At 36.4% G+C, this 23,509-nt stretch overlaps 1 protein-coding gene across 11 annotated transcripts in view; it reads left to right on the top strand.

Moving 5' to 3' along the window:
• The window catches only part of ALKBH8 (alkB homolog 8, tRNA methyltransferase), a 63,009-nt gene extending 43,633 nt beyond the window's left edge, over positions 1-19,376 (top strand). For 6 of the 11 annotated variants that reach the window (NR_165422.1, NR_165425.1, NR_165423.1 and 3 more), the window contains 2 exons: positions 11,067-11,216; positions 16,888-19,376. Coding sequence is in view for 5 of the 11 variants with exons in the window: in NM_138775.3 (NP_620130.2) it covers positions 11,067-11,216; positions 16,888-17,445 (708 nt within the window). In the remaining 6 variants the exon portion in view is untranslated. Of the gene's footprint in view, positions 1-11,066; positions 11,217-16,887 lie in introns of those variants that run through there. The other 5 variants (NR_165424.1, NR_165421.1, NM_001378133.1 and 2 more) reach the window with 3 other exon arrangements.
• Positions 19,377-23,509: the final 4,133 nt, after the last annotated feature.

Here is a 23,509-nt window from a genome sequence, read left to right as displayed (position 1 = left end):
TTCTCCCTTTAGATTTTGCTTTCTACCATATTATTTTATCAGTAAAACTATCTTATAGTTATAAAACTCTTTACAGATTAGAAAGGATTTTTATAGAAATCATTTTTTGGCTTGGATCCCCCTAAGTATGAAGAAGATAAAGCTGATATTTTCATCCATCTTTTGTAAATGAAGAAATTGGGGCTCACAGTGATCATATTAATTTCCTGATGTCATATAATTAGGGGACATAACTGGAACTTGAACCTATATCTTCTACTCCAAACTTTATTCATAGTAGAAAAAAATTTTCTATTTATTGGTATCTTACTGTTGAGGAAAGGAAGTCTCAAACAGATTAAAAACTTGACCAAGGTTACAGTGCTAGACCCAGAATTTGAACCCATTTCTGTCTGATTCCAGAATGTCTGTTTTCAGTTACTATTTTTTTCTATGAGCCATTTTTTTTCTGCTGTGCTAAGAAGTAGGATATTCTTGTTTTAGTGTATTGTTGTAAGTAATCATTTTTTAACATTGCTCTGTGAGGACTGGAGCTTCCGTTTCTCTAGATTAGGGGATTTAGGATGAGAGTAAGGGAGTAGGTAAAAAGAACGAGAGCAGCTGACATTCCTGGGTTGTTGGAGTATGTCAGATTACTTCTCATCTTTATTTTTACTCCATCCTAGATATTGTGCACCTACATGAAGAAAGTTACTACAATTGTCCCTTGGTATATAAAATTGAAGCTAAATCAAATAATAAATAAAATGCATATTTAATGATCATAAAAGATTTAGCATATAAGAGAAAAGTGATATACCATTCTTCTAAGAGATTACATTTTTATCACCCCTACATGAGCAACAGTGGCTGTTCTTTGTGGGGCCATACATCTCAAATGCCTCTAGTTACAATCACCTAGGATTCTACTGAGGAAGTACAAAGAATACCTCAAAATAAGTATATTAGTCCCTTGGTATCTGTGGGGAGTTAGTTCCAGGACCCTGTGGATACCAAAATCTGTAGAAGTTCAAGTCTCTGATACAAAATTATGTAGTATTTGCATATAACCTATACATATCCTCCTGTATATTTAAAATTATCTATAGATTACTTATGATATGTAATACAGTGTAAATGCTGTGTAAATAGTTGTTAGACTGTATTGCTTAGGGACTAATGACAAGAAAAAAGTCTATACATATTCAGTAAAGATGGAATTTTTATTTTTTTAGTATTTTGACCTGGGGTTGCTTGAATCCCTGGATGTGCAACTCATAGATTCGGAGGGCTGGTTGTATTACAGCTTAGGAAATGTAGAGTTTGTACATTAAGAGGCGGATAAAAGAATAGCCTTTCATCAAGATAAGACATTGATATTCATATATTGTTACCATGTTTACAATTAAATTTTAATTTATAAAGAATAAGGCCTAGTGAGTTAAGTTTGTTCATGTTGAAGAGGAAATAGATCTTTGATTGTGTCACTTAAAATCACAACAAACCACAGTTCAAAACAAGGTGATATTTTCTAGTGTTTTAATCTAAAGATACGTCCAAAAATGTTTCTCAGTAGGCTCTGCTTTTGCACTTTCTTGTTGATAATCCATGGTTTTATCTAGTCAGGTATCATTTGTGACAGTGAAACTAGGTCGAAATCAAATACACTGATTTAGTCATAGTGATAACATTATTATGTTGCAATTGAGAAGAATGATTTCTTGATAAACAGAAAACGAACACAATCTGCAGCTGATTCCAGAGGGAATATATTTGGAAGGATTAGAAAATCATAAGTACACTCACTCAGTTTATCAGCAGCAGTCCGTACATAATTCTTTCCTGTCTGTTGTTCCCTGGAGCTTACTGCATTGCCTGATTTCCAGGCATACGGTACTTGGCACATGGTAGAAGCTTACTAATTAATGGTTTGTTGAATGGTGAGGAGCAAACCTGTGAATTTACCTTCAGCTTCTTACATGAAAACCAAAATATATACAGTGCTATGTCTGGCAGCCTTGGAGGAATGTGACAACCTCAAAATGGGTGGGACTTACCGCAGGATAAAATTACCTTTAGGATCTAGCTTTCTCTTTTTATGTAGGATCCAGGGTACTCCTTATTCCTTATGTTATAATAACTAACATTTGCATAGCACTTCAATGGTTAATTAAATATTTAGTATAGATCATTTCATTTGATTCTCATATTAACCCTGGTAAATAGGTATTTTTCTCTTTATTTTTTAGATGAGGAAACAGAGGCTTTGAGATAGTAAGTAGCTCTCCTAGGTTATTCAGCTAGTTATTGCTGAAACCAGAATTCAAATTCAGAGTTTACAGGTTTAGCATCCCTAATACGAAAATTTGAAATCTCGAATGCTACAAAATCTGAAACTTTTTGAGTAGCAACATGATGCTCAAAGGAGATGTTCATTGGAGGATTTCAGATTTTGGATTTTCAGATTAGGGACTCTCAACCAGTATGTATTCTGCAGATATTCCAAAATCCAAAAAATTCTGAAATCTAAAATACTTCGGGTCCCAAGCATTTGAAATAAGGGATATTCAACCTGTAGTATGCTCTTTTCAATGTACTTTACTGCCTCTGTTTATTTCTCTGCACTTTAAACTGTATATTACCAGTCTGATTTTCCTACAGTTGCATATTTTCTTAATAGTTTTAAAAATGTTGTATATTTTTAAAAATAAAAATAATAGGCTGGGCACAGTGGCTTATGCCTGTAATCCCAGCACTTTGGGAGGCCGAGGTGGACAGATCACCTGAGGTTGAGAGTTCGAGACCAGCCTGACCAACGTGGAGAAACCTCATCTCTACTGAAAATACAAAATTAGCCAGTCATGGTGACGCATGCCTGTAATCCTAGCTACATGGGAGGCTGAGGCAGGAGAATCACTTGAGCCTGGGAGGCGGAGGTTGCAGTGAGCCAAGATCCCACCATTGCACTCTAGCCTGGGCAATAAGAGTGAGACTCTGTCTCAAAAAAAGAAAACAAAACAAAAAATATAACCAGCAGGGTACAGTGGCTTATGCCTGTAATCCCAGTGATGAGGGAGGATCGCTTGAGGCCAGGAGTTCAAGACCAGCCTGGGCAACATATCAAGATCACATCTCCTAAAAAACAAAAACAGTAGCTAGGCATGGTGGTGCATGCCTGTTGCTGAGACCAGCTTGGTCAGAGAGACCCTAACCTAGTGGTGCTAGAGGAATTAAAGACACACACACAAATATAGAGGTGTGAAGTGGGAAATCAGGGGTCTCACAGCCTTCAGAGCTGAGAGCCCCAGAGATTTACCCACGTATTTATTAACAGCAAGCCAGTCATTAGCATTGTTTCTATAGATATTCAATTAACTAAAAGTGTCCCTTATAGGAAATGGGATTAACTAAAAGTATCCCTTACGGGAAACGAAGGGATGGGCCGAAATAAAGGGGTGGGTCTGGTAGTTACCTGCAGCAGGAGCATGCCCTTAATGCACAGATTGCTCATGCTATTGTTTGTGGTTTAAGAACGCCTTTAAGCAGTTTTCCGCCCTGGGCGGGCCAGGTGTTTGTTGCCCTCATTCCAGTAAACCCACAACCTTCCAGCATGGGCATAATGGCCATCATGAACATGTCACAGTGCTGCAGAGATTTTGTTTATGGCCAGTTTTGGGGCCAGTTTATGGCCAGATTTTGGGGGGCCTGTTCCCAACACCTGTAGTCCCAGCTCTCCAGGAGTTCAGGGCTGCAGTGAACCATAATCGCACACTGCACTTCAGCCTGGGTGACAGAGTGAGACTCTGAGTCTAAAAATACCTACATACATACATAAATAACTATCATTTAGAAAATTGATGAAAAGAGAGGTATTTGCATAATCCTATCACCTTATTGTAATGAATATCCTTCTAATGTTTTTCCTATTAATGTTTTATATAATAATGAATGTGCAATAATTTGATAACTCATTTATCTCATTTATATTCTGATATATAATCTTAAAATGTTTCTGAATTTTATAATACAGTATTTTTTCTGTATTTTATTTTTAAATTAAAGTTATTAAAAATGTCTTTACAGGACAGATGAAATTATGTGTATTTATTGTATATGATATGATGTTTTAAAGTATATATACATTGTGGATTGACAAAATCTAGCAAATTAACATATGCATTACCTCACAAAGTTACCGTTTTGTGGGGAGAACATTTACCATCCATTCTCCTAGCATTTTTCAAGAATACAATACATGTTGTTAACTACAGTCACCATGTTGTACAGTAGATCTGTGGAATTTATTCCTCCTATCTAAAATTTTGTATCTTTTGATCAACATCTCCCCAGCTTCCCATACTTCAACTGTCTCAGTCCCTGGTAGCTACTGTTCTACTCTAGTTCTATGAAGTCGCATTTTTGGATTCCAAGTATGAGTGAGATCATGCAATACTTGCCTTCTGTGTCTGGCTTATTTCACTTAACCTAATGTCCTCCAGGTTTACCTATATTGTTATGAATGGCAGGATTTTCTTCTTTGTTATAGCCAAGTAGCATTCATTGGGTATATATACCATGTTTACTGTATTCATCCATTGATGGATATTTAGATTGATTCTGTATCTTGGCTATTGTATATAATGTTGCAGTAAACATGGGAGTGCAGATATCTCTTTGACCTACCGATTTCATTTTCTTTGGATATATACCTAGCAGTGGGATTGCTGGATCATATGGTAGTTCTATTTTTAATATGTCTGTGAAGCTTCCATACTGTTTTCCCTAGTGGCTGTCCTAATTTACATTCCCACCAACAGTATGCCAGGATTCCCTTTTCCCCACATCCTCAACGCCGTTTGTTATCTTTTGTCTCTTTGATAATGGCCAGATCTAACAAGTGTGAGGTAAAATCTCATTGTTTTAATTTGCATTTTCCTGATGGTTAGTGATATTCAGCATTGTTTCATGTACTTGGCCATTTGTATGTCTTTTTTAAAGAAATATAAATTTTTAAATCAGATTATCTGTTTTGTTGCCATACAGTTCTTTGAGTTCTTTATATATTTTTGTTTTTGTTTTGCTTTGTTTTGTTTTGTTTTTGACACAAGGTCTTGCTCTGTTGCCCAGGCTGGAGTGCAGTGGTATGATTACAGCTTACAGCCTCCTTGACCTTGCAGGCTCAATTGATCCTCCCACCTCAGCCTCTAGTAGCTGGCACTATAGGCATGCACCACCACACCCAGCTAATTTTTGTATTTTTTGTAGAGATGAGGTTTTGCCATGTTGCCCAGGCTGGTCTCAAGTGATCCAGGCCTGGGCTTCAGTGATCCACCCACCTTTGTCTCCCAAAGTGTTGGGATTACAGGTGTGAACCACTGTGCCCAGCCTGTTGATATATTTTGGATATTAATTCCTTATCACATGTATAGTTTGCAAATATTTTCTCCTATTCTGTAGGTTGTCTCTTCCCTCTGATGATTGTTTCCTCAAGTTAAAGCTTTTTAGTTTGATCTAATCCCATTTGTATATTTTTGCTTTAGTTAACTTTGTTTTTGGGGTCATATCCAAAAAATTATTGCCCAGGCCAAGATCATGGAGCTTTTCTTGTATGTTTTCTTCTAGTAGTTTCATAATTTCAGGTCTTACATTTAAGCCTTTCATCCATTTTGAGTTGATTTTTGTAGATGGTGTGAGATAAGCATTTAATTTCATTCTTCTGCATGTGAATATTCAGTTTCCCTAACACCATTTATTGAAAAGACTTGGACTTTATTAATATTCCATTAGGCAGAAGTTACTGGAAATTTGGTTGTGTTCTGTTTGGAAGTATTCTAAATAACACCGTAATGAACATGTATATTGAGAGTCAATGGGATAAGAAGGAAGAATGTGGATTTTGGAATGAGAAATACCAGGCTTTAAATTTTTGTTTCACCATTTAACGACTTTCAACTTTGAGCAAATTACTTATTTTCTTTGAAAGGAAGTTTTCTCATCTGCAATGTGGTGAAAATAGTACCTAACTCCAAGTGTGTTATGTGGCTTAAGTGCAGTGCTACAAAGAATCTGCTTTAATCTATATGCGTACTCAGGAAAAGGTGGTTATTATTAGCCTGGTTAGTGTTTTCCCTATTTTGAATTATTTTCTTAGGATAAATTTTTAGAAAGGTAACTATTGGTCAAAAATTATAAACCTTATTTTCTTCCTTAAAAAATGGTTTGCCTAATTGCTCTTTTAAATGGTTGAGCCAATTTGTATTTTGTATGAGAGGAAGTTCTATCATACTGACATTGCCATGGTATATTTTAGTTTTAAAATATTTTTGATAGTTTAATGGAAGAAAAATGGAACCTTGTTTCAGTTTGCACCTTTGCTTATCAGGTTGAATTTTTTTTATGTTTACTTGTACTTCCACAATTACATATTTAATATTTGTTGAGGTTTTTAAAAATTATATAAAAGTATAGGCTGGGCACCGTGGGTCATACCTGTAATCCTAGCACTTTGAGAGGCCGAGGTGGGAAGACTGCCTGAGACCAAGAGTTGGAGACCAGCCTGGGCAGCATGGTGAGACCTTGACTCTGCAAAGAAATTTAAAAATTAGCCAGGCATGATGGCGTGCACCTGTAGTCCCAGCTACTCAGGAGGCTGAGGTGGGAGGATCACTTGAGTCCAGGAGACCAAGGCTGCAGTGAGCTGTGTTTGTGCCATTGCACTCCAGCCTGGGTGACAGAGTGAGACCCTGTCTCCAAAAAAAGAGTATACATTTTAAGCCCAGTATATGTTTTAATGTCATTGATCTTCACCCAGCACACAGAAATATGTAGCTTTACGCAAGTCCTTGAATATATGTGGGTTTTTATCAAGCCATTTTCTGTCCTGTTGACATGATGCAACATTATTAGGGAGATTTTTCAAACACTGTACTATTCTTGGTTTAAAAAATTTAAAAATGGAAAGAGGGAAGAGGAGAAAAAATAGTGACTGCATGACTATAGTATATGGAAGACAGGCAAAAAAAGTAAAAGATGAAAGTACTGAGCCAGGCATGAGTCAGGTCGTTGGTCAGTGGGGAATCTACATCAGATCTGATGCTTTATTGCTAAAATTGGCCTTGCTCTTTCTTGTTGGTGAAAAGGAGTGCTGTGTACAAATAGCTATAAGAGCCTGGCAAGGAGAGGGAAATCTCTTGTTTTGTTTGGCTGTTGTTCTCCATGTTCTGTCTTATCTGTGGCTCTCAGGTAATAACTTTCCTCTTTTGAGTAACTATCGAGCCCTATCCCTGAGGTTTTTTTTTTAATAGGCAGGTTGGATTTCTTTCTGTTGACTTTTAGCAAGGTATAGCTATCTTTCAGAGTTGGGGCATACTTGAAACTTCCAATTCTATGAACCGAATTTAAATGTAACAAAAAAGGAGGCAAGCACCAAAATATAATGTTCAGATTATTTGAGTGGTATTGTCATCTTGATATTCTGACTGTTGGCTGATGGCATAGAATATGCATGAAAATAAATAATAAGTAAGAATCCAGGCATGTATCTTACACAGGTAAAGGGAGCAATTAATTGGGAATCATGTCACTATTGTTATTAATAGGCCCTTAGTACTTTTTATCTTAAAATATATTAAAGATAAATAGCTGTACTTTACCTCTAGCTTGATATCTTTTATTTCACTTTAAAATTAAAGCAGCTCCAGGATAAAATATAGAAGCTGTTTAATACCGATTACAAATTGAGCAAACTCATTAAGTATGACTAGTATGGCAATGTGATTTAACTCAGTAAGAATTTTTTTTAATTTCCATTCTTTTATTGTGAATTTATAACATAAACTCTGTAATGTAATGTTTCATTTTAAGATCTTTTTCTTCCTCTAAGGAATTAATAACATAGCACTTTAAGGAACTTTTAATAAAAATACTGTTTTTTTTGGTAAATTGAATGTCACTACTTAGTATCAGAGACAATATTACATTCTTCACTGCATACTCATGTAAATTTCAAAAGCCTGCCTGAAATCTATATATGCTTGCTGGTCTAAAAAAAGGCCAGATTAAATTTTTTTTTTAACTTTTATTTTAGGTTCAAGCGTACATGTGCAGGTTTGTTATATAGGTAAATTGTATGTCACAGGGATTCCGTGTACAGATTATTTCATCACCCAGGTAGTCAGCATAGTACCTGATAGGTAGTTTTTTTTATCTGTACACCACCCCGCCACTTTGACCCTTAAGCAGGCCCCAGTGTCTCTTGTTCCCTTCTTCGTGTCCATGTGTACTCAGCATTTAGCTCTTACTTATACGTGAAAACATGCAGTATTTGGTTTTCGGCACCTGCATCAGTTTGCTTAGGGTAATGGCCTCCAGGTCCATCCATGTTGCATACAGCAAGTGACATGATCTCATTCTTTTTTATGGTTGTATAGTATTCCATAGTGTGTAACACATTTGTTTACCCAGTCTACTCTTGATGGGCACCTAGGTTGATTCCATGTCATTACTATTGTGAATAATGCTGCAGTGAACATATCAGTGCATATGTCTTTATGGTAGAACAATTTATATTACTTTGGATATATACCCAATAATGGAATTGCTGGGTCGAATGGTAATTCTCTTTTAAGTTCTTTGAGAAATTGCCAAACTGCTTTCCACAGTGGGTGAACCCATTCCCACTAGCAGTGTATAAGAATTCTCTTTTCTCTGCAACCTCACCAGCATGTTATTTTTTTGACTTTTTAAAAATAGCCATTCTGACTGGTCTGAGATGGTATCTCATTGTGGTTTTGATTTACATTTCTCTAATGATTACTGATGTTGAGCTTTTTTCATATGCTTGTTGGCCACGTGTATGTCTTTTGAAAAGTATCTGTTCATGTCCTTTGCCCTCTTTTTAATGGGACCGATTGTTTTTTGCATGTTAATTTGTTTAAGTTCCTTATAGATTCTGCATATTAGACCTTTGTCAGATCCATAGTTTGCAAATATTTTCTCCCATTCTGTAGGTTGTCTGTTCACTCTGTTGATAGTTTCTTTTGCCGTGCAGAAGCTCTTTAGTTTAATTAGGTCCCATTTGTCAATTTTTGTTTTTGTGGCAGTTGTTTTTGTTGTCTTTGTCATGAAATCTTTGCCAGAGCCTATGTCCAGAATGGTATTTCCTAGGTTATCTTCCAGAGTTTTTGTAGTCTTAGGTTTTACATTTAATCAGTCTTGTGTTGATTTTTATATATAATGTAAAGAAGGTGTACAGTTTCAATCTTCTACACATGGCTAGCCAGTTATCCCAGCATGTTTTGATATGAGCATTCATAGTCTTTATTCTCAGAAGGGCTGAGGATCAGCCCTAGGATCAGTGCTCATTATATCAAAAAATTAAATGAGTAAATATACACTTTAGGTGGCCACTTCTGTTTGACTAAATCTGCTTATATAATTCTTTTCTGTATTATAGAGTTTGGCTAAGAAAAAATTATCCAGGGATAGTTATCAGTGACTTAACATTTCTTGTGGCCTGGTGCAGTGGTTCATGCCTGTAATCCCAGCACTTTGGGAGGCCAAGACGGGCAGATGACTTGAGCCCAGGAGTTTGAGGCCAGCCTAGGCAACATGGTGAAACCCCATCTCTACAAAAAATAAAACAAATGCTGGGCATGGTGGTACGCACCTGTACCCCCAGCTACTTGGAAGGCTGAGGCAAGAGGATCACCTGGGCCTGGGAGGTGGAGGCTGCCGTGGGCTGGGATTGCACCACTGTACTCGAGCTTAGGTAATAGAGTGAGACCCTGTCTCAAAACCAAAACAAACAAACAAAAAAAAACCCTTAAAATAAAAAAGTCTTAAGCCCCTCCCATTTATTCCCCAATTTATGTGGGCACATTACAAAATGTGTGTGTGTGTGTGTGTCTGTATATTACATATATATGTGATATTCTTAGAACTAAGCAGCAAAACTGTGTACAACAACTACAACAACAAAACTAAAGAGAAAGAAGATGGGAAATCCCAGCTCCTAAAAACTTCTCACAGAACCAGATGCATACATAAGGCATGCTAGGTCTCACCTGTTGAGGGAGAGAAAAGCATACTCCTAGCTGCCCACCATGCCATCAATCCTGTAGGATTGTTTGGGTATATGAAAAGACTTAATTAAATATCATTTTATAAATTTTGAATTCAGCACTTTATTCTTGATAAGTTTTGACATTTAGCAGAAAAAGAGTAGCTTTAAAAAATAAAAAAAAAATTGTCTGGGCGTGTTGGCTAACACCCGTAATCCCAGCACTTTGGGAGGCTGAGGCGGGCAGATCACCTGAGGATGGGAGTTCGAGACCAGCCTGACCAACATGGAGAAACCCCATCTCTAATAAAAATTAAAAATTAGCCAGGCGTGTTGGCTCATGCCTGTAATCCTAGCTACTTAGGAGGCTGAGGCAGGAGAATTGCTTGAACCCAGGACGTGGAGGTTGCCATGAGCTGAGATCACGCCATTGCACTCCAGCCTGGGCAACAAGAGCGAAACTCCATCTCAAAAAAAAATTATTTTGATTTTTTTTGGGGGGGATTTTATTTTCTGATTGTAAAAGTAATCCATGTTGAAAAGTATAAAGAAGCAGAAAAAAAATTGCCTATCCTTCTGCTACCTGGGACATCACAATATAGTATATACGGTAATGAGAGATATCTTAGAACATCTTATTTGCAGCTCCCCCTAAAAGACTGTCTGTGTTTATGTGATACTTTCCAGTTTTAAATGTGTGATATTACAGAAACATCCAGATTCAGAATGGTCATCAATTAGCTGTATATTTGGACCTCCCATTTCCACCACTATCATTTTTATTCCAGTCTTTTTGTTTCACTAATTGGAGTTCTGTTTGATATCTGTTAAGGTAATAAATGCTGCCCTGTACAATTATATATTCTGATTTTATACTGGCTGTAAGAACCGATAGTATCATGGTCTCAGACCATTTCACAATGAATATGGTATCTGTCTAATGACTTTAAGGTATGGAATAAGTTCATAGTTCTTAATTTCATGTGAAATTTAAACAAAATGTTATGGAATTCCTTCTCTGTTACAGATTGGTTGTGATCGTAGCCAAAACCTTGTGGACATTTGTAGAGAGAGGCAATTTCAGGCTTTTGTCTGTGATGCATTGGCAGTACCAGTCCGCAGTGGGTCTTGTGATGCCTGCATCTCCATTGCTGTTATTCATCATTTTGCAACAGCAGTAAGTATGGTCTTTCTTTCTCTTAAGAACTTGTAGCTAAAGCAGCAGGAAGAGTTCATGAATTTTGCTGATTTTGGACCCTGTTTTAGCTTTTCAGTTCTTTCCGTTCTCTTTTCTTGTCACAGTTTTCCCTCTTTGTAAGAGAGCATGCAGAATAAAGATGGGCAACTGTTTAAGTATCTTCTACTTAAACAGAGGCCTGATGGGACTCTACCCTTTATTGCTGCATGCTTTCGCCCCTTTCCTACCCCAAGTCTCATTCACTTCTAAATGCCTTCCTTTAAACCCAGAGTCACAGAATTTTAGCTGGAAGAGAATTTGAGATCATCAGCTCCAAGCTTCTTGAGTATACTCTCTCCTCAGACTCTATGAGTCCCTTCTGTATTTCTTTCTCAGCTTTTCTTTCTCAACCCATAGTTTTATCCCTGACATGTGAGTGTTACTTCTTTCCCATTCTGTTTTTCTTCCTTTCCTGTTCTTTTTTTTCAAAACTCTGTCTTTTTTAGCTGGTAGTAGTATGTTGACTCTTAGTATGTTCTTAGTTTTAAAATAAATGAATTTAATATTTAATATTTTCTTTCTTTCTTTAAAGAACAAAAGACCACTTATTTTTCTTGGGTGTCAGCAGTCATTCCCTTGATTTATGCAATAGCTTTATAGCTCACCTTATGGGTCACCAGCAGTTTCAGTAGACCTTATGACCTTAACTGAGTTCAAAACAAATCAAAACAAATCAGAAAACTGTCTGCGTCTTTAGTCTTTTTACTTTTAATAGTAACCAAGAGATTCTGCTGGGCTGCAGCAAACAATATTAGGTTTTTTACAGCAAAAGCCACTAGGCCTCAGTGGCTTTCAGAGGCATGACTGCAAATAGAGGAAGGCTTGAAAGGAGCAGCTATACCAGTAAATTTAAAAATCCGCTTCATTTGGAAGAAATGTTTGGCACATATTGGTTGCTTCAGCTACAACTCAGTTGTTGTATTATAACTTATTTTCAAGTTATAAAAGACAATAATGTACACAAATATATCTATATCCATTTTTTGCAATCACAAATATATGTTGGATACCCTCCCCTCTATGAAGTTCTATATGATCGTCTTAGAAATCTGTCATGTCCAACTTTCTCTACATATCTATTGTCATTTATTTAAAAAATAATTCATTGACCACATGGAAAAGAATGAAGTTGGATCCTTACATTACACCATATGCAAAGAAAAACCTCAAAATGGATCAAAGACTTATACAGAAGAGCTAAAACTATAAAATTCTAAGAAGAAAACAGGAGGAAAACCTTCATGACGTTGTATTTGGCAATGATTTCTTGGATATGATACTAAAAGCACAGGCAACAAAACAAAAAATAGATAAATTAGACCATCAAAATTAAAAACTTGTACATCAAACAACACTATCTGCAGAGTGAAAAGGTAGCCCACAAAATAGGAGAAAATATTTGCAAATTGTATATCTGATAAGGAATTAATATCCATAATATATAAAGAACAACAAAAATACAACAATAACAAAACAATTTAAAAATGGACAGAGGACTTAAATAGACATTTTTCCAAAGAAGATATACAAATGGCCAATGAGCACATGAAAAGATACTCAGCATCACTAATCATTAGGGAATGCAAATCAAAACCATAATGAGATACCACTTCACATACATTAGGATGGCTATTATCGGAAATATAGAAAATAACAAGTGTTGGCAAGGATGTGGAGAAATTGGAACTCTTGTGCATTGCTGGTGGGAATGTAAAATGGATCAGCCACTGTGGAAAACAGTACAGTGGTTCCTCAAAAAGTTGAACATAGAATTACCACATGATTCAGCAATTCTGCTTCTAGATATATACCCAAAAGAATTGAAAGCAGAGACTTGAACAGATATTTATACACCTACGTTCATAGCAGCATTATTCACAACAGCCAAAAGGTGCAAACAACTCAAATGTTCATTAATGGATGAATAGATAAACAAAACATGCTATGTACCTATAAGGGAATATTATTAAGCCTTAGGAAGGAAATTCTGACACATGCTACAACATGGATGAACCTTGAGGATATTATGCTAAGTGAAATAAGCCAGATGCAAAAGGACAAATACTATATCATTCTACTTACATGAACTACTTAGAATAGTTAAATTCATAGAGACAGAAAGTGGAACAGTTGTTACCAGAGGCTGTGGGAGGGAGGCATGGGAGTTGCTATGATTTAATTGATACAGAGTTTCAGTTTGGCATGATGAAAAAAATTCTGGAGATGGATAATAGTGATGGTTGCACAACCATTAAGTATGAATGTACTTAATGTCACTCAGTTGTACACTTAAAAATGGTTAAAATAGCAAATTTTGTTACATATATTTTACCACAATAAAAATAAGTCATTGAGGCCAGCTGTCGTGGCTCACGCCTGTCATCCCAGTGCTTTGGAAGGACAAAGCGAGTGGATCACTTGAGGTCAGGAGTCTGAGACCAGACTGGCCAACAAAGCAAAACCTCATCTTTACTAAAAATACAAAAGTTATCTGGGTTGATTGGCGCATGCCTGTAATCCCAGCTACTCAGGAGACTGAGACATGAGAATCACATGAACCCAGGAGGTGTGGAAGTTGCAGTGAGCCGAGATCGTGCCCACTGTACTCCAGCCTGGGTGACAGAGACTCCATCTCAAAAAAAAAAAAAAAAAAGGCATTGAAAATCAGTTACACACTGCTATTAAGCAAATAGCTGGGCACAAGATGGAGAAGACCCAGTCCCTGCTTCATAGAGCTCATAGTTTAGTGGAGGAGGCAGCATTTATTTATTTATTTATAATTTGTTGGATTTATGTGTTGTTGGTTGAATGCCATAGTTATAATTTGGACTTAGAGAGTCATTGAAAGGTCTAACACATGGGAATACCTTGATGAAATAAATGCCTGATAGAGATCATTTTTATGGCACTGTGAAAGATGATATAGGGTAGAAGATAAGATTTTATGTGGAAAATCTCATCCAAGTATATGGACACAACTAGGTAAGGGAATTAAAAGAGTCTACTGACCTGTGCCACATCCCTTCACTACTGCAGTGTTCTTTTCAACTGATCCCAGGATATCTCTATTTTAATCCAGTTTACATTCTAGTGTCAGTCTCTTCTTCCCTGACACCACTGCTTCGACTATTTGACATTCTTTTTACTTTTGTGACCTTGAACAAACATTTTTAGTGATTTCTGAATACTTAGGTTGCTCAACTGTAAAACAATCTCACAGGCCTGTCAGGATAAATGAGACAATACATAAAGTACTTGTTATAGTGTCTTATACATAATAAGAGCTCAGAAAATATTAGTTATTATTATTTTAATAATCTTTTTTTCAACCATTTTTATAAAATGGTCTCGTCTTATTTTTTAGCTTAATTTCCCGATATTTCCCAGCTCCTTAAACCCAACTTGGAAAAATCCTCACAAAGTTTCCTCCTATTAATTCACTTCTCTATGTATCAGTCATGCTGAAGATGCTTCCTCCTATTTTAACATATAACCTGAGATTATTTCCTGGGCTTTTTGGCCATTTTGAATGGGCTACTTGGGTGTACAATACAATGTGTGTTACTTTGACAATTAAGGAAGGCATTATCTAAGGCTAAGAGAGCTGTGGAACTGGAAATATTAATTTCTGTTTATCAAATATTGTATGTATCTTAGTTCTCTTTCATTGCCAGCCTTATTTCCATAATGTAGTTTATAATTACATTTTTTCCTCTTTTGTTAGCTTGCTGACTAGATATTCTTTCATTGTTTTTTAAATGGTTACCCTAGACATGACAACATGTATCTCTGACATTATAGTCTACCTTAAATTGGCATGATTACCCCTTCCTGACAATGTAAGACTTCATTAATAACATTTAACCCCTTCTGCCCTTTATTGCATTATTATTATATGCTACTGTTTTATTGTTTTAAGCTCTCAACCTTCATTTATATTTCTTCACTTTATTTACCCTTTCTGGTATTCTTCCTTTTCTCCTACATCTTCAGAGTTTCAGAGGAAGTAAGTTTCTTTTGCTCGAAGAGTTCTCTGTGCTGTTTTCTTTAGTGACACATTCTCTCAGCTTGTGTGTATCTGAAACCTCTTTATGTTGCCTTCATCTTACAAATTATATTTTTAGTAGGTATTAAATTCTCGATTGACACTGTTTTCTGTATTTTCCCCTCTTTTTCATCTCTGTGCTTCAATCTGGGTAACTTATACTGACTTGAACTATAGTTTAATACTTATCTTTGTAAATGTATCTAATTTGCTAAAAATTTAAATTCATCTTGTTTTCTAGAATTTCCGACTTCTTAATGTATTTTATCATTACTGAAATTCTTGATCTTTTCCTCTGGTTTTTTGAGCATACTAACCATAGTTATTAAAAAGGCTTTGTCTGGGGATTTATTTCTATGGTCTTTTTTTTTTCTCTGTTTTTCAGTCCTTTGGTCCTCATTTTTAACATACTTCATAATTTTTCACTGTATGCTGGGCATTTTATGTTAAAAGATTTGGGTACTTTTTCTCTGAAGGAAGTTAAATTTTTCTAAGGAGAAGCAGATAAAGTATAAGCAGATCACTTTCATTCTGCAGAGAACTGGTTTTATGCTTTATTGGGGATGATTTATATCTATTTTATTTTTGTTCCTACTTCTGTAATGTAGCCCTTCTGGGTCTCAAGTGAAAGCCTGGAATGTACTCCAAGGCTATTTTATACCTTGGCAGATCTTAAATTCCAATGTCTGTCTCTCTAACATTGGCTGCTAAAATTTTTGTTTAGCATTTTAACTTCCCAGCTGCTACTCTGCTGAGTTTCTTGGAATTTCACCCTGTGTACATGCTGCTTAGAAACTGGCAAATGCTTCAAAGGGTGTTTGCATATAGATTTTCAGAATAATTTTCCTGCAGCTTCTCCTTTATCTGTGACTCTGTCCCTCAGCTGCTTTGACCTCCCTGTACTCTGAGCCCTATCTGTTCAGGCCACTAAGGCCTCTGCATTCTGCTCATATTCTGTTGTCCCACATTATGAATTTGCAGATAATCTCAGGGAAAAGCTGGAGTGAATCTAGAGCTCACCTTGGCTTACTTCCCTTCTCTCAGGGATTACAGCCCTTCAAGGCCTGCCTGCAGTGTTACTCTCCAGTGCCTTAAGCAGCTGTTTTATGTATTTCACCCAGCCTTTCTGGTTGTTTTCAGTGGGAGAATTAATACAAACAACTTCGTCAAGGCTATAAGTAGAAGTCTCCATAGTATAGTTGACACGATTCCTTTGTAAAAGCATTATATAAATGATTAATGTCAAAGTGCTTCATATTACCGCTTATAGCCCTAGAAGAAGTCATCAGTTGTTTCATGTATCCTAGCCAGACAGTTAAGGAAAAGTCACAGGGAAGATTAACAGAAATAAATTTTGCTTTTCTGTACTTCCTCCTTCCTGAACACTTTTTTTCTTAATCACAGAACAGAATGCTCTTTCTTCTTTTTTTCCTTTTTGTTTTACATAAGATATTTTGTTAGATATTCTTATTGTTCATCCTAATTGAAAACAGTCCTATGGTCAGTTTTATTTTCTGATTTCCTGTCTCTTCCAGGTTGATCATGTGTTTTGTTTTTTTTCATTAGGAGCGTAGAGTGGCAGCTCTCCAAGAAATTGTTCGACTCCTGAGACCAGGTGGGAAGGCACTCATTTATGTCTGGGCAATGGAACAAGAATATAATAAGCAGAAGTCCAAGTATCTTAGAGGAAACAGAAATAGCCAAGGAAAGAAAGAGGAGATGAACAGTGATACCTCAGTGCAGAGGTCACTTGTGGAGCAAATGCGTGACATGGGCAGTCGAGACTCGGCATCTTCTGTCCCCCGCATTAATGACTCTCAGGAAGGAGGATGTAATTCAAGGCAAGTTTCTAATTCCAAGCTGCCTGTTCATGTTAACAGGACTTCTTTTTATTCTCAAGATGTACTGGTTCCCTGGCACCTTAAGGGAAATCCTGATAAAGGCAAACCTGTTGAGCCATTTGGTCCCATAGGATCCCAGGACCCAAGTCCTGTGTTTCATCGTTACTACCATGTGTTCCGTGAGGGAGAACTGGAAGGTGCCTGCAGGACTGTGAGTGATGTCAGAATTCTGCAAAGCTACTACGATCAAGGAAACTGGTGTGTGATTCTTCAAAAGGCCTGATTATTTACCTGAACACATCATATATAAAGAAGAAATGCTCACTTAAAAAAAAAGAGAGAATAAATTAATTACCCTTTTAATTAAAGAGAAAACTTGTGGGAAAGTACCAAAGGAAAGCTGAGAAAAATTTGGAAGTAGGGATTCATTAGGAGACATTCAAATGTCTCCTGTTGGCTGACATCACAGATGTGGTGTTGGCTCCTCCTACTTCCCTAGGAGAGGTGGTTTCTAAAAGTGATTGAAGCAGTTTGTGCAGTGTTTGTAATTCTTGGGTAAGAGCCCAGGATTTTGAAGATAATAGTTTTTTAGTAAAGTGCTACTAAATGTAGTAAATCATGTAGGATTTTAGGGATGTAATTATATGTTAATACAGAAAATAGTCCTGGTCAATAGAAAATTGTCTGAAGTTTTACCTATGATTTTTAGCTCTGTAAAATCATAGACAATAACCATTCTATTTCCATGCCTGACTAGCCCAGGGCTGGACGTATAGCGGGTGTCCAATAACGTTTAGTCAATCAGATAATACCCAGAACTTAGTAGGAGTTTCATTCAAAAACTATTTTTTGAACCCAACCATGTACCAGTTACTATTTTAAGTACTGATAATGAAGCAGTGAATAAGAAAGAGCAAAGCTCTTGCCCTTATGGTGCTTACATTCTAGACGGGGAGACAGACAGCAGGCAAATCAATAAATAGATACTATGTGCCAGATAGTGATAAATGCCATGAAAAACATAAAATGAGAGACGATTCACCTTGGAGCAAAAGATTACTTTTAAGTGACTGAAATAACTACTAATCCTGACTAATTTATTATCAAGAGTTAATTGGTATTCCAAATTCATTGAGCAGGGTGCTAAAAACAACCCAAATGTGCTCCTTTAACTCCTTTGTTTAAATGACAAAAGTTAGAATGTGGTCACTCAGACCTAACTGTGCCCTTAGAGCCAAAGCTGTGGTGTCATTATTGGTTATTTCTAGTTGATTCATAGTTTGTCCCAATCCAGGTTCAATCGGGTTATTTTTAAGATCTGTACAATATTGCATAATAGTAACCCAGTTAACTTACCACTTAGGTTAGATTTCCTGGAGGAACAAAGGTAGAAATTCAACCATAGGTCAAATTATCACATAGAAGGAAAAGGCTTTTTTTCAAAGAAAAAATTTTTTGAACACTTTACTCCCAGTATGCATTACTTTTGTAGTAGTAATGCTTAAGACTGTTTTAAAGAAAAATTGCTTTCTGTTTAATTAATGTTTACTGTTATTAATGCTAGTGATACTTAATCTTGAAGCATCAAGTTTTCAGAAACCTATAGTGATCAATAATGGGTCTCAGATGAGAGGATGATTATTTTTTTCATGGAATTTCAGTCCAACATCCTGGTGTACTGGTCCCTCTGGGATGAATTTATAAGGCTCATGATATAGGAAAAGGAATATAGGGCTAAAAATAGTTTTATTTCTGATATAAATTCTGGTACTTGACACCAAAGTTTGAAGTCAAGTCATGCCAATAAATTTTAACATCCAAATGAAATAGATGATTTTCTATGAAGATGAAAAATACCAAAATTGACTCAAGAAGGGAGAGAAAATGGAAGATGTTGAAAAATAGCATAGGAATTCAGAACTGGGCTCTAGAATCAGATTTCCTGAGAGTTGAATTCTAGATCTGCCATTTATTAGCTGTGGGATTTTGGGCAAATTTCTTGACTTTCTGTGCTTCAGTTTTCTTAGCTGTAAAATTGGAAGAGTTGTTATGAAAATTCACTGAAAGTATATTTGTATACATCATAGGATAGTGTAAGAATATAGTATGGCTTTGAGAAATGTTCATTATTATTACTCCCAGAGGAGTTTTAGGTATTAAGTGATGCCAAATATAATTTGTTAATTGTATAATAAAAATCTATATTCTTACTGACTTTTTTTGGTCTGCTCATTCTTATAAGTTGAGACAGATGTTTTAAAATCTGACACTATGATGATGGATTTCTCTGTTTTTCTCTATAGGGTTGTCAGTAGCAATAGTACAAATCTGGAAAAAGTCCAAATGTCCATCAACAGTAGAGTGAGTAAATTATAGTCAGTTCATACAGTACATTACTACACAAGCAATTAAAGTGAATATACTTACAAGCTGTAATATAAATGAATTTCAGAAACAAGGCTGAGTAAAGGAAGCCATATACAAAATAATACCATATGATTTCTGCAGAGTTTAGGAGTCCTCAAGACCACCCTTCTAACACCAACTACAAAGTTCAGGGTCCCCAAAAGAACACCCACACTTCTGATGCCAACTGCAAGTTTGGGGTTCCTAAGACAACCCTCAGGTTTGATAATTTGCTAGAAGGGCTCACAGAACTCTGTGAAACTGTTATACTTGCAGTTATAGTTTATTACAATGAAAGGATACAAATTAAAATCAGCTAATGGAAAAGGTGCAGGGGCACAGTCCAGGAGGGTTCCATGCATGGAGCTTTCAGTTGTCCTCTCCCAGTGGCATTGTGGACAAAACTGACTTCTCCCAGCAATGTCGTATGACAATACAGGTGCAGTGTTGCCAACCAGGGGAGCTCATCTAAGCCTCAGTGTTCAGAGTTTTTATTGAGACTCAGTCACACAGACATGGTTGACCACACATGTGGCTGACTTTTAGTCTTCAGTCCCTCTGGAAGTCAAGCTGATACTGCTTGGCCCAGAGTCCCCAGGTAAACAGATTTGCTTATCAGGCAGCATATTCCAAGGGCTAGAGATCAACTCCCAGGAACCCAGGGCAAAGGTCCAACCTCTCTTGGATAAGGTTAACTCTACTACACAATTTCCTTTAGGTAAAAGTTCAAAACCCAGTAATATCAAAGCATATTTCTACAAGGCTAAGTAATGCTTTTGGTTAGAGACAATGAGTGGTCTTCTTGGATGTTCACAATGTTCTCTTTTTTTCACTGGGTGGTATTTAAAATGGTGTTTGCTTTGTGATAAACCACTGAGTTGTACACTTATGATTTTTATACTTTTTGTATCTATATTAGAAGCTACAAAATTTAAAACAACTTATAACAAAGTTCTAAATTAACAGTTGAAATGTTTAAAAATATTTTTATGTCAGCTTTTATGAGGTGTAATTTGCATATAACATTAACCAATTTTAACTGTACAATTTGATGAGTTTTGACAAATATAGTTATGTAATCATCACCACAGCCAAGATGGAGAACATTTCCATCACCCCAAAAAGTTTCCTCCTGCCCCTTTCAATCAGTCCCCTCCTTCTATGGCAAAGACTGGTCTGCCTTCTATTGCTATACTTTTGCCTCTTCTAGAATATCATATAAATGGAAGAATATACTTAGTAGACAGTTCTGTCTGGCTTTTTTCACATTGGACAATGCTTTTGAGATTCATACATGTTCTTGCATATATCATTAGTTTGTTCCTTTTTATTGCTGAATAGTATTCTATTATAAGGTATATCACAACTTATTTATCCATTTCTAGTCTGGATTGCTTCCAGTTTAGAACTAATAGTTTTTTAAAAACTGCTATGAACATTTGAGAACACACTTTTATATGGACATAGGTTTTCATTTCTCTTGGGTAAATACCTCAGAGTTGACTTCCTGGGTCATATGGTAAGTCTATGTTTAACTTTATAAGATATGGCCAAACTATATTCCTAAGTGCCTCTACCAGTTTGCGTTCTCATCAGCAATGTTTGAGAATTCAATTACTCTATATCCTTGTCAACACTTGAGGTCATCAGTCTTTAATTTTAGACATTCTAGTTGGTGTGTAATGGTCTTTTTATGCTTTTACTTTGCATTTCCGTAAAGACCAGTGATTTGGGGCATTTTTACATATGCTTATTTTGCCACTTGTGTATCTTGTTTGGTGAAGTGCCTGGTCAAATATTTTATCATTCTGTAAAAATTGAGTTGTCTCCTTTTTAATGAGTTATTAAGCTATAAGTATTCTGGATACAAGTGCTTTATTATATATACATTTTCTAAGTATTCTCTCCTAGTTTGTGGCTTGCCTTTTTATTTTTCTAGCAATGCCTTTTGAAGAGCCAACATTTTAAATTTTGATGAAGTCCAGTTTATCAATTTTTAAAATTTTATAGATTGAGATTTTTGTGTCCTATTTAAAAAATGCTCACCTAACCCAAATTGCTAACATTTTCTCTTGTATTCTCATCTCAGAGTTTTATAGTTTTAGCCCTTACATTTAGGTCTGTCATCCATTTCAAATTAATTTTGTTTGTGATGTGTGGTGGGAATGAGCTCATTTTTTTTTTCTATATGTGGCTATCTAGTTGTTCCAGCATCATTTAGAAAATATTATTTTTTCCTCAATGAATTGCTTTGACACCTTGGTGGAAAATCAGTTGACCATATATATGTGGGTATATTTCTGGACTCTATTTTTTGATCTATGTATCAATATTTTTAATGCTAGTACCACACTGCTTTGGTTACTGTAGCTTAAAAATAAGTCTTGGAACTGGGTAGTGTAAGACTTCTAGCTTTGTTCTTTTATGCTCTTAATAACAGAGTTTCAAAATATATGTAGCAAAAACTGATATAGCTGCAAGAAAAACAGACAAATCCATAAATGACAAAACCACGGTAGATATGGTGAACATCTTTCCTTCTAGAAATTTCAATAGTCTATAGAAGTACATAGAAAGTAAGGATATAGGCCGGGTGTGGTGGCTCATGCCTGTAATCCCAGCACTTTGGGAGGATGAGGTGGGCTGATCACAAGGTCAGGAGATTGAGACCACCCTGGCTAAAATGGTGAAACCCTGTCTCTACTAAAAATACAAAAAAAAAAAAAAAATTAGCTGGGCATGGTGGTGGGCGCCTGTAGTCCCAGCTACTTGGGAGGCTGAGGCAGAAGAATGGTGTGAACCCAGGAGGCGGAGCTTGCAGTGAGCCGAGATCGTGCCACTGCACTCCAGCCTGGGCAACAGGGTGAGACTCCATCTCAAAAAAAAAAAAAAAAAAAAAAGAAAGTAAGGATATAGCAGACTTGAACAACATAATCAACCAACTTCATTGGCACTTACACAATGTTCAGCCAACAACAGCAGCGTACACATTATTCTCAAGTACATAAGGAACATTTACTGAGGAAAACCATATTCTGGGTCATAAACACGTGGAGACAAAAGTGACTTCATCTTGGATGCTAATCCACCATGTTGACTTCTGAGTAGCCCCAGTACTGTACTTTATTTACTGTCCCTGGTGTAAGAACACATCAACCTTGAAGCTATCACACAAATTATAGGCTATGATGCATATATCATTCTTGCCTGTTCTAGAGGGTTGCCTTTTATTGTCTTGCTGGAGCACACATATGCTTGTCTTGTGGCTGCCCAAGACCATGCCTCTGTTTGTAAATTCCCCCAATAAAACATCCTTTCTTGAAAAACTAAATGTCTGCCGCCTCCTTTGGTTTCTTGGTTCCTTCGGCATTTGGGGGCCACTTTGCATATATAGCCCTTTCACAGAACAAAACAAGACTCAGTACATTTAAAAGGATTCAAGTCATATAAAATCTGCTCTCTGACCACAATAGAATTAGAAAATTTTCTGTGATCTGAGTCATAAGAAAAAAAGAGAGAAAAAAAGAGAATTAAGTTAAAAATTAATACAAAAAGATCTCTGGAAAAATCCTCAAGTACTTTGAATCTGTATAACCCATGGATTAAGGAATAGCTCAAAAGAGAAGTTAGAAAGTATTCTGAACACAATTAAAATGAAAGCACAACATACCAAAATTTTCAGGAAACCCTTTGGGCAGAAAAGAGAAATTGCAGCAGGCCTGAGGCTGGTGTCCTCAGAAAGGCCTGCTAGCAGGGTTGGGCTCTGGCTGGCATTTGAGAACTTGGATTTTGGGAGAGTTCCCACCAACCTAACTGATCAGGGTGCTTGACTGTACCTAAACTGCTTGTGCAAACAATATAGTTTATAGTGAACATCACTTTCCTTCTGGAAATCTGGAATTTGGGTGCCAGGCAGAGAGTGCTGATGTGGCCAGTTCCTA

Source organism: Homo sapiens, chromosome 11 (assembly GCF_000001405.40).
Source record: "Homo sapiens chromosome 11, GRCh38.p14 Primary Assembly".
NCBI lineage: Eukaryota > Metazoa > Chordata > Mammalia > Primates > Hominidae > Homo > Homo sapiens.
This window is presented reverse-complemented; position numbering and strand designations above follow the sequence as displayed.